Source organism: Homo sapiens, chromosome 4 (genome assembly GCF_000001405.40).
Source record: "Homo sapiens chromosome 4, GRCh38.p14 Primary Assembly".
NCBI classification, from domain to species: domain Eukaryota; kingdom Metazoa; phylum Chordata; class Mammalia; order Primates; family Hominidae; genus Homo; species Homo sapiens.
The window spans coordinates 165,845,329-165,858,919 of NC_000004.12; the positions used below are offsets into that span (position 1 = coordinate 165,845,329).

Genomic DNA, 13,591 nt, shown 5'->3' on the forward strand with positions numbered 1-13,591 from the left:
GAATCAGAATCAAAGATAATACATATTATTGGGGGAAAACACCTTAGGTAACCATATGGAACAGTGTTTCTGCAGCAACATGGACAAATGTATAAGCAAACTTGTATCCCTGAAAGCTTCCAAAGACACGGAATTCAGGTGATACATCTTCGGATACAATGTTACGGAAGAATGGCTTGCCAGAGTTCAGTGTAGTCTTGTACACAAAAGTTTGGTGGCTGAGGCAGGAGAACTGCTTGAACCCTGGAGGCGGAGGTTGCAGTGAGCCAGGATTGTGCCGTTGGACTCCAGACTGGGCGATAGCGCGAGACTCCGTCTCAAAAAAAAAAAAAAAAAAAAAGTTTGGAATTAACACAATATACCAGGCAAAAGTTTCAAAATATATAGAAAGACTTCTAAGATGCACCATTGTAATTATTGGTCCTTCCCAGAGGGTACTCAAAACATAATCATGTGAAATTGAATGCTCTTGAAATTTCTTTATCTTCAAAGTAAAGATTTGAAATGAGTCTTTTCTTATTTATTCTCACTGTTTTCCAAAATCCTTCTGTCTCTGGAGTATTAAATTTAAGGTTTTAAAATATCAAAAATATAGCATTTAATTATAAAATGATAAAAATAACTCGTTCTATTTCAAGCACAAACAACAGGACAAAAAAGAGAATGATCTGACTAAAATTAATCTTAAATTTCAGTGTGTAAACTCAAGAAACATGGCAGGAATTTACTTATTTTGAAGTCCTAAGCAACAAAATTTTTTAGTACTTAACTTCTTCCTCCCCTGCTTTCTTAACCACTAGCCAGAGTTCTGAAACTTAAGTACAATCAAGAGGTATATTTTAAATTTTATTCAAATTTGGAGACATTAGGAACTCCAAATTCTATCTTCCGTAATAAGTTTAATTCACTATCTCTTTCGGAAATTCCAGATATTGTAGCTAGAAACTAAACAACACATTGAGATGTAAACTATTAACTCAGGAATGGTCATTTATAAAAAGTAATAAATAAAACAAAAATGAAGTACTAGGTTTTATGTATTTTAAAAGTTGGTCCATACTTTCAACCTAAAAGGAAAGGCTTGTACTTTAAAGAATCTGGTACTGATCAATAAACATTCATACTTTGCATGAATTACTGCCATCATTAATATTTTCATTCTAATAAAAGAGATATTTAAACAGGTTTTATTTTTCTTAAGCAATAAGACATAGAGGTACTTGTCAAATCATACTGTGAAATAACTCATATCACTAATCTAGGTCAGACTGAAAATCTTTAATAAAACAGTAACAACTCAAGATCATGGATTTGAAGAAGCAACATTTAACATTTGATAAAACTTGACATTTTGGCATAGATAATAAGATTAAAAATACTTTTAAATTAGTCACTTTTCTTTCCAATAGCATCAGGAAATTGTCCTCCGTGGTGTCATCTCCACCTGCATCTGGACTTTAGGCCTCCAATCACATTTGGGAAAAAATCCATTTCCTTGATGCAATACTTTTCAGGCCTTGACAATATTAAAGTCCAATATTTTGGAAGAAAAAATGTCTTGTGAGTGGAGGTGAGGAAGAGTGGACATAACTGACATTTAAGATTTTCAAGTGTCAACCGGGCACGATGGCTCACGCCCGTAATTCCAGCACTTTGAGAGGCCAAGGCGGACAGATCACCTGAGGTCGGGAATTCGAGACCAGCCTGATCAACATGGTGAAACCCTGTCTCTACTAAAAACACAAAATTAGCCAGGCGTGGTGGTGCATGCCTGTAATCCCAGCTACTCGGGAGGCTGAGGCAGGAGAATGTCTTGGACCCAGGAGGCAGAGGTTCCTGTGAGCTGAGATCACGCCATTGCACTCCAGCCTGGGTAACATGGCGAGACTCCATCTCCAAAAAAAAAAGATTTTCAGGTGTCAATCTCCATGGCTCTTATCATTTGCCTTCTCTCATGCCTGACCTAGGTCTTCTATCAGTGCCTGTGTTCACAGCATGAACTCAGTATTTTCAAAACTCAGTATTTTCATCTGGGGCCAATACGCACTCAGATTTTATCTTCTGGCTTCAATCATTTGTGGGTTTTGACTACTTGAGGAAAGAATAAGAAAGTGAATTCAATACACTTTGCAAAACATTTTTATAAAGGATGTACATCCATTTTGATCCTGTTTTGTTATCAGATCTTCTTGAGCCAAAATGTAATAATTGATCTTAGAACAATAATACCCTCTTGAAAACTCTAGAAGACTGTAGGCAAGCTAGTGAAAACTGCCTGAAGAATATCTGGTTGGCTCCTCCACGGTGAACCACACATGACTGTGGACAAGTCTTCTCTTTGTAACTTATGCACATACACACTCACACGAACAATCACAAGAGTGCACACACTTGCAAAACCACAGGGATGCCTAGCCATGGGAATCTGTTTATATGTCCTGTAGATCACACACGCACACACACATGTACGCACAATCTGCTTCCCTATATGGACATTTGAAAAGTTAGGCTTGCTATTATTCCTTAAAAGACCATAAATTAAATAGATTACATAACAAAATAAAACAGGAAAGAAGTGTACTTGACATTCTTCTTTCAGCAATTCAACCAAATTCAGTGTGAGGCGCTGGAGTCTTGGCTGTGTATGATGTGGATTAATCATCATCATTGAGAATTTATCAAGTACCTACTGAGGACATGGCATTATTGCAAATAACTTTTCTTCAGGCTGTGGTTCCTTAAGAGAACCTTTAAAAGTATCATAAACAAACAAAAATAAACAAAATAATATTCACTCAAAAAATCCTACTTAGTCTAAAAAAGTTGATCTCATGGCAGTAGCAAATAGAATGGTGGTTACCAGAGGCTGGGAAGGGGGCAATGAAGAGAGGCTGGTTAATGGTACAAAAAATACAATTAGATAGAATAAATAATTTCTGGTGTTTCATAGCACAGTAAGGTACCTATAGATATCAATAATGCATTCTATATTTCCAAATAGCTGGAAGAGAAGAGGTGGAATGTTGTCAACACAAGGAGATGATGATAAATGTTTGAATTCTAATTACCCTGATTTCATCATTATACATTGTATACATTGTATGCATTTTTCAAACCACATCTACCCCATAAATACATACGTTCATCATTATGCATCAATAGGAAATGTTTTGCCGGAAGAATTTCAATTTAGAATTGTAATACCTTGCCTTTTAAAGAAAATCTCAAATTTTTTAAATCAATTTATAAATCTTCTGTTCTCATGGGTACAAATAAAGTAACAGTTTTGAAAATATGTTTCTATTGTGCCACAACTCTATGAATAAATAAATAAATGTATGTAGAGAAAAATATTTACAGTAAATTTGTCATTATCTTTATCTGGGTCAGAAGCTTCTGGCTTCAAATTTGCCAACTTTGGAGCAATTATTAGTCTCAGTTTTTCCAACAGATAATTAGCTGATGTTGAAGGCTAGAAAATAGTGTGTTCTCAGCATAGTCTAAAACATTTTACAGATTGTGAAGATGGATTACAATTTGCTATTAGATATTTACATTAATTAGATCTAGAATTATTTTCTTAGTGAAAACTTAGCCATGCAGAGTATGTTAATTGAAAGAGTCCCTGTCTTTCCAGAATGGACTAGCCGGAACTTAAAAGCAGAGAGAAAAACAACTACCTTGTTGAATATTCTAATTTAGTAGGTTTTTGTTTGCTTGCTTGCTTGTATGCTTTTTTAGAGACAAGGTCTTGTTCTGTCACCTCGGCTGGAGTGCAGTGGTACCATCCTGACTCTCTGCAGCCTTGGAGTCCTGGGCTCAAGCGATTCTCCTGCCCCAGCTACCTGAATAGCTAGGACTACAAGCACATACCACCACAGTTGGCTAATTTTTTATTTTTATTTTTTGTAGAGATACTTTTCACTATCTTGTCCAGGCTGGTCTCGAACTCCCGGGCTCAAGTGATCCTCGTGTGTCTGCCTCTCAAAGTGCTGGGATTACAGACATGTTTTATTTTACAAAGAATAGAACAGATTTTCCCATGTTCATTAAGTTAAATTAAAACAAGGTCACTTCTCTTATGTTAGGCTAACTTACAACACATTCTCAAACATAATTTTTGTCAATATATAAATGTACAAATAAATACTATATTGATATATATTTAATATAGTGTGCACATACAATTAATATAATACATGTTGATATACATATTAATATAGTCAAGGTTTATATGATAGGAAAATTCCTACTTTGAAATATCAGAAGAAGCTCTCTAACCCTTCCTTACTAGACTTCAAGAAAAAGATTATTCTTTTTGTTTGCAGCAGAGTTGTTTGATGCTTATGGACATATGGAATATTACAACTATGATTGCCTAATTTTCTAGAAAACTTAAGCCCAAAGTGTCCACCTTATCAACTCCCAAGTTCATAGTATCTACCTCTCCTTAGCTAAGCAGTGAGTTGGAAAGCAGTGGAAGGGAAAAATGATGCTAGGATTTCTCCCTGTGGCCTGGATCAAAGCCTAGGGCCCACTACTGAGAAGGTTCAGAGCCCAGACCAAAAAGGTGTAGATCCAGGGAGCAGGTACACCCACATGAATTTAGGAACTTAAGGCGAAGGCCAGTTGTCTTAGTCCATTCTCACACTGCTATGAAGAGCTACCTGAGATTGAATAATTTATAAAGAAAAGAGATTTAATTGGCTCACAGTCCCGCAGGCTGTACAGGAAGCATGGGTAGGGAGGCCTCAGGAAACCTTCAATCATGGCGGCAGGCGAAGGGGAAGCAGGCACGTCTTACATGACTGGAACAGGAGGAAGAGAGTGAAGGGGGAGGTGCCACACACTTTTAAACAACCAGATCTCATGAGAACTCACTCACTATCTTGAGAACAGCAAGGGGGAAATCCTCCCCCATGATGTAATCATCTCCTACCAGGCCTTACCTCCAACATTGGGGATTACAATTCAAAATGAGATTTCTATGGGGGCACAGAGCCAAACCATATCACCATGTTGGTTGCACCCAAGTGTGTCAGGACTACCTGGCTCCCGAGGAGACCACAAGGAGCCTTAAAGGGAAGACCAAGTGTGCACAGATTTAAAAAATAAGTTAAAATAATAATTAAAATCTTAAAGAAGGCATCAAGATAATTTAACTATATAGCTTCTATTCAGTAATCTCTTAGATATCGCTGTACTCATCTTTCCTTGTTTTTTTGTGCTTTACCTAATCTGGATACTTCGCCAGATTAGAATTGTTCTCTTTATTATTAGTATTCCTTTTCATTATTCTGCTTAGAGTTTTAATAACTTAATGAGGGTTGAAGAATACTGAAAGTCATGCAGGCTCAACATTGGGCAACAATCTGACAAAATAATACACTTAAAAGAGGCCAGGTCATTTGCTTGATGCCATAATTTCTGGGCCAAGCAATGAAGGCAGTGTCACAGGCCATTCAAGTATATAGCTTTGTTTCTCCTCTCTGCACTTAGGGAAGCTGAATCCCAGTATTATCTCTTTGAAATGCGAGGTCCTACAAGTGTATATCCTCATATTAGCCTTAAGTTTAATTAATCAAATGGTCTCTCCAGTGTATGACTTGATTATATTGTAATTCCTTGACACAGTTGATATTTTATTTATAATTCAGTATTAACTGTAAGGAATTTAATTTTTTCAGGTTTCTAATTGAATTCTGAAAAATCACGCAGTCCTCTAACTGAGTCTCTTATGTTACATTGATATAGCACGAGTCAAATGAAATATTTTATCATGAATTTTTTTAAGCAATATGAAAAATTACATATAGATTCCTTTTTTTATTTAAGGATATATTATACCAAAACTATTACTGTACATTAACATTTTAATTGTATTAATTTTTTCTGTCACTTGTATCTTCCTTTGTATCTTCCAGTTCAGAAGGGAAACCCTTTTTTCCTCTTAAATCATTTCTTGCTCTGTGAGCTACTATGGTGGTTAGGTTGGCAAGAGCCATTCCAGGCATGTGAATGTGGTTAAAAGCTATTTTTTTTCTCTCTCTTTCCCATATACACATTGCCACATATAGCCATACACTACACACACACACACACACACACACACACACACAGAAAGCCACTATTAATCTGTAATGATCCGGAGGAATTCTAGGTATAAGAATGTTTGGAATGCCCCTAAGATAATGAATTTTTCATTCATGATCTTTCGTGCCAGGACTGCTGTGACTGCTAAGACACGCCACACAGTTTCATGGGAAGAAACAGTGCCCCTTTGCCAGAGCCCAGTTAGCAAATTAGTATTATAATTATTATCAGCCATCTTACAACATCCGGCAGCAATCGAGATATCATTTTTTTCTCCTAAAATGCAAGTTAAACGGTGTAATTACATATGGTTCTATGAATTATCTTTTACTGTCAACCTCGATCATCTCCAAACCTCAAGTTAAATAATTCAAGATTATAAGCTCAAGTAACATAATATATAAAAATTAATGTATTGCTAATTTTAAAGTAGTCCTGACAGAGAGGCTGATGTAAATGAGCTATTTTTACCATGCTTTTTGCCAACTGTACTGTCTGAAGATGCTGGCCAATGTTTGAAAGCTCTTTTAACTCAGAACTCCCTCAGATGTTCTTTTATGATAAGGAATAAAGGAGAAAGCAGAAAAGCTTTGTATCTGTGGTAATGAAAGAAGGTCAGAAGCTATAGCATGTAGATTTTTGGAAAAGAGTCAGAACTTTTTAGAGAGAAAAGATAAAGATTATTAGCAACACTGACCTTGCAATCCACTGTAATCATTCCTAGGCTAAACTGAAGCTTTTGTGGAACAAATAACATGTTGACCCCCAAAATAACCTCATTATGACTATGAACAATAGTAAAGTACATAGGCAGAAGCCACAAGAGGCTTTGTTTTAAATTATAGCAGCAACATCAGACTCACATAAACTCTAAGCAGAACCTCCTCCATGTTTTACCTTTTTTGAACATAGGAGGATTGCATATACTGTACTTTTCTTGTTTGCATTATCACTATACTGATCATATATTATCATCTTTTGATAGTGACAGGGATGCTATTATTATTATGCAGGAAGAGGAAGAAACCGAGACTGTCCACGGGAAGTGAGACTACATAGTCATCCTAGAAATATATTCATGATGAAGAAAAGATGTTATTAAGCATATGTGCCCTCTGGGATTTGAATAGTGGGTTCTAGTTTGTGACACAATCTAACAATAAATAAGTTCAACTGGCAAATTTGATTAACATAGAGATTTGTTGCCAGGAAAAAAAAAGTGATCTATTTTCACCCAAGTTTCAGCCACAATGTTTTAAAAGTTATGTTCAACGGACAGTGATAATATGATCTAACAAGTATCAGAAATGGAGTCTCCTGTATGAATTGCAAGTGTAATAAAACAAGTTGGTGTAAATATAGGTCTATCAGTAGAAATCTCCTCGGGTGCAGTTTTTGTTTTTAAAGACCTGCAGAACATTGTGGGAATTCCAATAAAATATATGTATGGATCCCCACACAGAAATTCCAGTATGTTTCTGTTTTGTAGAAGGATATTTAACAATCAGTCTAGAGAATTCAGTAGTCATAATTAATACTATTGACAAATCATTTAGGAAAAAGGAAATTTCTGTCAAAAATAGTATCAAAATACACATGAACACCAAAGATTAGGCCCAATTTAGTTATTCCTTCAATTGCTACCTTAATTTTTAAGGCTGCTTTTATGTGAAACTGTGGTATTTCACTAAAATATTCCAAAGTTCGTTTATTCTATCTAAAGGGCAACTAGTAAATACATACATCTACTTTGAGTTTTAATTGAATAAATTATTTAAAACACCTAAACCCGTCATATCTAGTGGTACAATCTGACTCTGTTTAGACATTCCAAGTCTAAAACTGATCGATAGGTTTCTGGGATCAATGAAAAGAATACTGAAATAACAACCAGGAGGCCTAGCTGGATGGAACTAGTCTTGTGAAACTGTGGGTGAATGGTTAAGTCTCTTTGAGAGTTAGTTTTCTAACCTATAAGGAGGAAAGTACTGGATTAGATTGTCCCTTAGGTCCTTTCCAGCTCTGACATTGTATACTTTCTGTCCCAGTGATTCAAACAACCAAAACTGTTTTACTGTTATCTGACCATTAGACTCTAGAAGATGATCCTCTTATCTTGTAAGCATTTATGAGTCAGAAAATGGCTCTCATGAAAATGCATCAAAAGTTAATTGTATTTAAATGAATACTAGAAAAAAAAGTTTTTTGTTTTGGATTTCCAACCTAGAATGATAATACCTTTCTAAAAGTTTCCCTCCAAATACCTTCATGTTGGCAATCAGCTGCTCTGAGTGGCATTATCTAAATACTGTGTTTCCGTATGTCACATTTTTTAATTTCACTTTTATATGAGAAAATAATCAAATTTGGTTCATAAGGATTCAATTTCTGGAGAAATTTGGCGGAAATTTCTATTTTTTTTTTCTTTGCAGAAGCATCTCTGCCAGCTACAAGTGAGAGTCCATATGTTGTGTGGTATATAAAGAGAAACTGCTCCTGATTTCTTTCACACCTGAACTACTCTATTGCAGATGTTCCAAAGAATGTCTACCTCAGAAGGAGCTGCAAAATAGATTATAAAATTATCCTGGCATAATTTACTGAAGGAAAAATGGATAGTATTTACTAACATTTTCTCACACCATTACATAGAAGAAGGCAGCTAGTAACTTTGCTAGATACTAGAGTACCATTTAAAGAAACTGGGTGAACAGAAAGGCTTATTGTCCCTTACTAAAAATGATTTCCACACTGAATAGTTACACCTGGCTATGTGCTTTCTGAGACCTTGATTTTTCTCTGTTACATTTTTAATTACAGTAGTCGTTTACAATTTATAATATGCAATCATTTACAATTATAAATACCTGTAATCTTAGTTTTGCAAGTTGGGTTTCTTGTAAGCATTGTGCCTCCATAGTAATTCCAACATGCTTGTATTATCCACCATCCTGTAGAGAATGAGAGCCATAGCTGGGCGCAGCAGCTCATGCCTGTAATCCTAGCACTTTGGGAGGCGGAGGCAGGCAGATCACAGAGTCAGGAGTTCGAGACCAGCCTGGCCAACATAGTGAAACCTCGTCTCTACTAAAAATACAAAAAAAAAAAAAAATTAGCCAGGCATGGCAGCATGTGCCTGTAATCCCAGCTACTTGGAAGACTGAGGCAGGAGAGTCGCTTGAATCTGGGAAGCAGAGGTTTCAGTGAGCGAGCTGAGATCGCGCCATTGCACTCCAGCCTGGGTGACAGAGCCAGACTCCATCTCAAAAAAAAAAAAAAAAAAATGAGAATGAGAGCCATGTACACAATGAATACAGGTCTCATGACAGAGGCTGTCCATAGCAGGACTGCTTGCAGGTGCAAGTTCGTATGCACAAAGCATTCAGATTCTACTACTTTAGGATTTCATTCATCTCTAAGTCTCTGAATCAGAAAATTGCCCCAAGAATAGATACCCTCCTAGTGTGAACATAAATTTGTATATGTCTTTCCTTCTTAAATAGGCACTCCCTAGATTGAATCCTAATAACTTTATCCAATAAAAAGTCTGTGTATAATTAGTTCAAACTGTGAAAACAGTGATGTGGTGGTGTCTGCAATCTAAATCACTCCATAGAATGCTATGTTAACTGTTCTCCCGACAATAAATAATGAATGTCGTTTCTAAATATGCCAAATAGAATTAGGTTCTATGTATGCTGTATTGTATATTTTCAAAGCATCTTATTTTAATATCCAGAGAATGCCACGTAAAACCTTGAAAGTACTTATCCATGCCTAAAGAAAGACAATAAATATCCATTTTTTTCCAAGCTGATTAATCATTCAGTCACATTTGTGATTAAGAAATACAGAATAATCCAGGAGATGTCTTAGAGACTTAGAGAGGCCCTTCTGGTGTTTAACTAGAATTTAACATGAAAGTTACATCCTATGACATGATGAAAACACAGTTCTGTGCATAAGACTATTACAAAGCAATGCTGACACCTACAGAGAATGTATGCAAATATCCAAGTTTAATTGGTATATGCTTTACTGACTGGCATTAATACTTTGAATTACAACTACCTCAATATATAAAAACAAGACAAATTAAGTTTGATGTGGTACATTTAAAATGACATTTAATTTGTAATGAAAATGCTCATTTTGTTATCCTTTCAATAAACTTCACATTGTAACATTATTGTTTGACTGTCAATATTTTAATAGTCAAGGGTGGGGCCTACCTGAACAACTCCATTGCTGTGGACCCATCTGCTGATGCAAACTGATGGTATATGTAAAAGAGATAATGAGAAACAAATATGTTTTTTCCTTTCTCTCCTACATTTGTGTAGTATTTCTAGCGAAGGAGAGTTATTGTCTTCTCACTGGGAGAACTAAGATAGAATTTTCCAGAATAAGTAACTGGAGGCCAAGGAGAAGCACAAACTACCCTTCTCCAACGTTTCCTCTACTGCCTCTTAATTCAGTATTGTAATAGAACTAGTCTTGAGAAACTTAAGGCAGAACATGAATTTGGTCCGAAGAATACTTTTTTGTGTGTAAGCAAAACTCACTACCCTTTTAATAAGCATTAACTAAAGGAAGGCAAAAATCATATCTTTATTATTTATTGAGTGCCTCGTAATCACATGAAGAAATTAGGCTGTGACAATGATGAAAAATCAGAGTCCACAGATTGTAATTTAAAGCTAAATATGCTACCAGCAATTCTGTTAGAAAATATCCCACTTATTTGCAATAAAAATGCCTAAGAATAACTTTAATCAAGAAAGTTCAGTGACTCTGTGAAAAAAAGTATGAAATTTTGCTGAGAGACAATAAAGCTCACTTAAATGAATACAAGAAACATGTTCCTGAATAAAAATATTAGAATAGGGATGTTGATTATCTCCTAATTAACTGTAGTTTTATATAATTTAAAAAAAAAAACTCCATGGATGCTTCAATAGCTTAAACTTGTTAGAAGTTCAGGGAAAAACAGCTAAATGCATTTTTAACAAGAAGATTAAAGAGAGAATAGTGCTAGCAAATAACTGTATACTGAATAAAATGTATGTTCTATAATATATATGATATACCAGTGGTCCCCAACCTTTTAGGCACCAGAGACAGGTTAATTTTTCCACAGACGGGGTGGAGATGCTGGTTTCTGGATGAAACTGCTCCACCTAAGATCATCAGGCATTAGTTAGAGTCTCATAAGGAGTGTGCAACCTAGATTCCTCACATGTGCAGTTTGCAAAATAGGGTTCGTATCCCTGTGAGAATCGAATACCCCTGCTGATTTGACAGGAGGAGCTCAAGCAGTAATGCTCACTTTTCTCCCCTCACCTCCTGCTGTGCAGCCAGGTTCCTAACAGGTCACAGACAGGTACTGGTCCACAGCTAGGGGTTTGGGGACCCTATATATATTTTATATATATATATATTTATATATATGTATATATAGTCCCCTATATATAAAAAAATAAATATAAATATAAAAAATGTGTGTGTGTGTGTGTTTTCAGATGGAGTCTCGCTCTCTCGCCCAGGCTGGAGTGCAATGGTGCGATCTCAGCTCACTGCCACCTCCACCTCCCGGGTTCAAGCAATTCTCCTGCCTCAGCCTCCCCAGTAGCTGGGAATACAGGTGCCCGCCACCACACCTGGCTAATTTTTGTATTTTTAGTAGAGACGGGGTTTCACCATGTTGGCCACGCTGGTCTGGAACTCCTGACCTCAGGTGATCTGCCTGCCTCGACCTCCCAAAGTGCTGGGATTACAGGTGTGAGCCACCACACCTGGCCCTATATACCATATTAAACATATATAATATGAAGCCAAAATGATTAGAACAATGTAGATCCAGAATTATATGGGCAGGTACTTCCAAAGAACAGGATCTATAGTTGAAAAGTAGACTTTAGTGTCACAAACTATAGTGAAAGGAAGAATATTTAATAAGAATGTGTTAGGAAAATTGATTTCCCAGTTTATTAAATTAGGAAAAACACAGAGAATGCAGAAAGCAAAGTGCACATAATATTTGAACTTTAGCAATGAACATTTTACTTTCATGAAGTAAAATGAAATCACAAAGTAAAGAGCAATTAAATTGAGATCACAAATGAAAATTTCTGTATGTCGCAAATATGTCACACAAATTAAAAAGAAAATAACAAACATGGGGAAAATACTTGCAGTGATTATGTAAGAAGTACAAATCCTTAAGGGAAATCCAAAAAATTCAATTGAAAACTAGTCAAAGATTATTAAAAAAAAGGTATTTCCAGGAGAACTAATACAAATGTTCAACCAATACAAGAAAACATTGAGCATGGTGGCAGGTGCCGGTAATTCCAGCTACTTGGGAGGCTGAGGCAGGAGAATCTGTTGAAACCAGAAGGCGGCGGTTGCGGTGAGCCGAGATTGCGTCACTGCACTCCAGGGTGAAAGAGTGAAACTCCATTTCAAAAAAATAAAATAAAATAAAATTTAAAAATAAAAGAAAACATCGTTCAACATTACTGTTTTTCCCAATATACAATTCTATTCCAGAAAACCTGTATCATTAGGTTCGGCAAACATTCACTATATTGTCACAAGCCCATCGTTATTTGCTCTCATGGGCTGTAACTCCTCCTTTTCTGTAATCTCAAATCCTCCTATTTTAAATCACATAAAATATCTTGTCCTATGTGGTGCCTTTTTCCAATCCTCACAGACAAATTTTTTTTTTACAAAACTTTCTTGTTTCCTATTATTACCTTTTTAATTAGATTTACCTCATACCAGCCTATATTTTGCTCCTATGCTAAATGTTTTACTTTGTTTCCTAATTGTAAGTCATTTTTAGCAAAATTGGCGACGTTTACATATCCCTGTCTTTAAAAGATGTGTCATGCCCAAAACAAAACAAAACAAAATGAAACAACAACAAAGCAAGACCAAAAGCAAGGGTGCTGACAGTTTGATTAATGTAAATAAAGACATTCACACATACAAATTCAGTTTTTTATGCTTCTGTAGGAAAAAACCTGTTCCATTCACATGCCCATGAGGCTTCTGCAAAAGCTGGTTGTATTTTGACTACAAAGAAAATGTGACTATATTCCAAACACACAAAAAATGTGCAAGGCTACCTTATTTGATTACACCACAAAAATATAATAAAATAAGAATTAATAATAAATTGGTAAAGAAAACTTAAAATTTTAAATGCAGTACTTGGAAGTTAAAAAAATAAGCTCTCTGGAAGATTAAAAAATAAATATTCTAAATAATTTTGGGTAAATAAAATAAAATTACAATAAAACTACATAGTATCAAAGATCATTGCAATGAGAAAACTAAGTTTTAAACCTCATGAAGTATTGCCTGAACTTTTTCCTAAAAAATACTTCATGTGGGCCGGGCGCGGTGGCTCATGCCTGTAATCCCAGCACTTTGGGAGGCCGAGGCGGGTGGATCAAGAGGTCAGGAGTTCAAGACCAGCCTGACCAAC

The 13,591-nt window shown here is 35.8% G+C and overlaps 1 long non-coding RNA gene across 1 annotated transcript; it reads right to left on the reverse strand.

Annotated features, from left to right (window-relative positions):
- Positions 1-278: 278 nt before the first annotated feature.
- LOC105377521 (uncharacterized) lies at positions 279-10,376 on the reverse strand. Its single transcript, XR_939420.1, has 3 exons — positions 10,326-10,376; positions 8,961-9,044; positions 279-316 (listed from the first exon to the last, which is right to left on the reverse strand). It is a non-coding gene; the product is annotated as an uncharacterized LOC105377521 (long non-coding RNA).
- Positions 10,377-13,591: the final 3,215 nt, after the last annotated feature.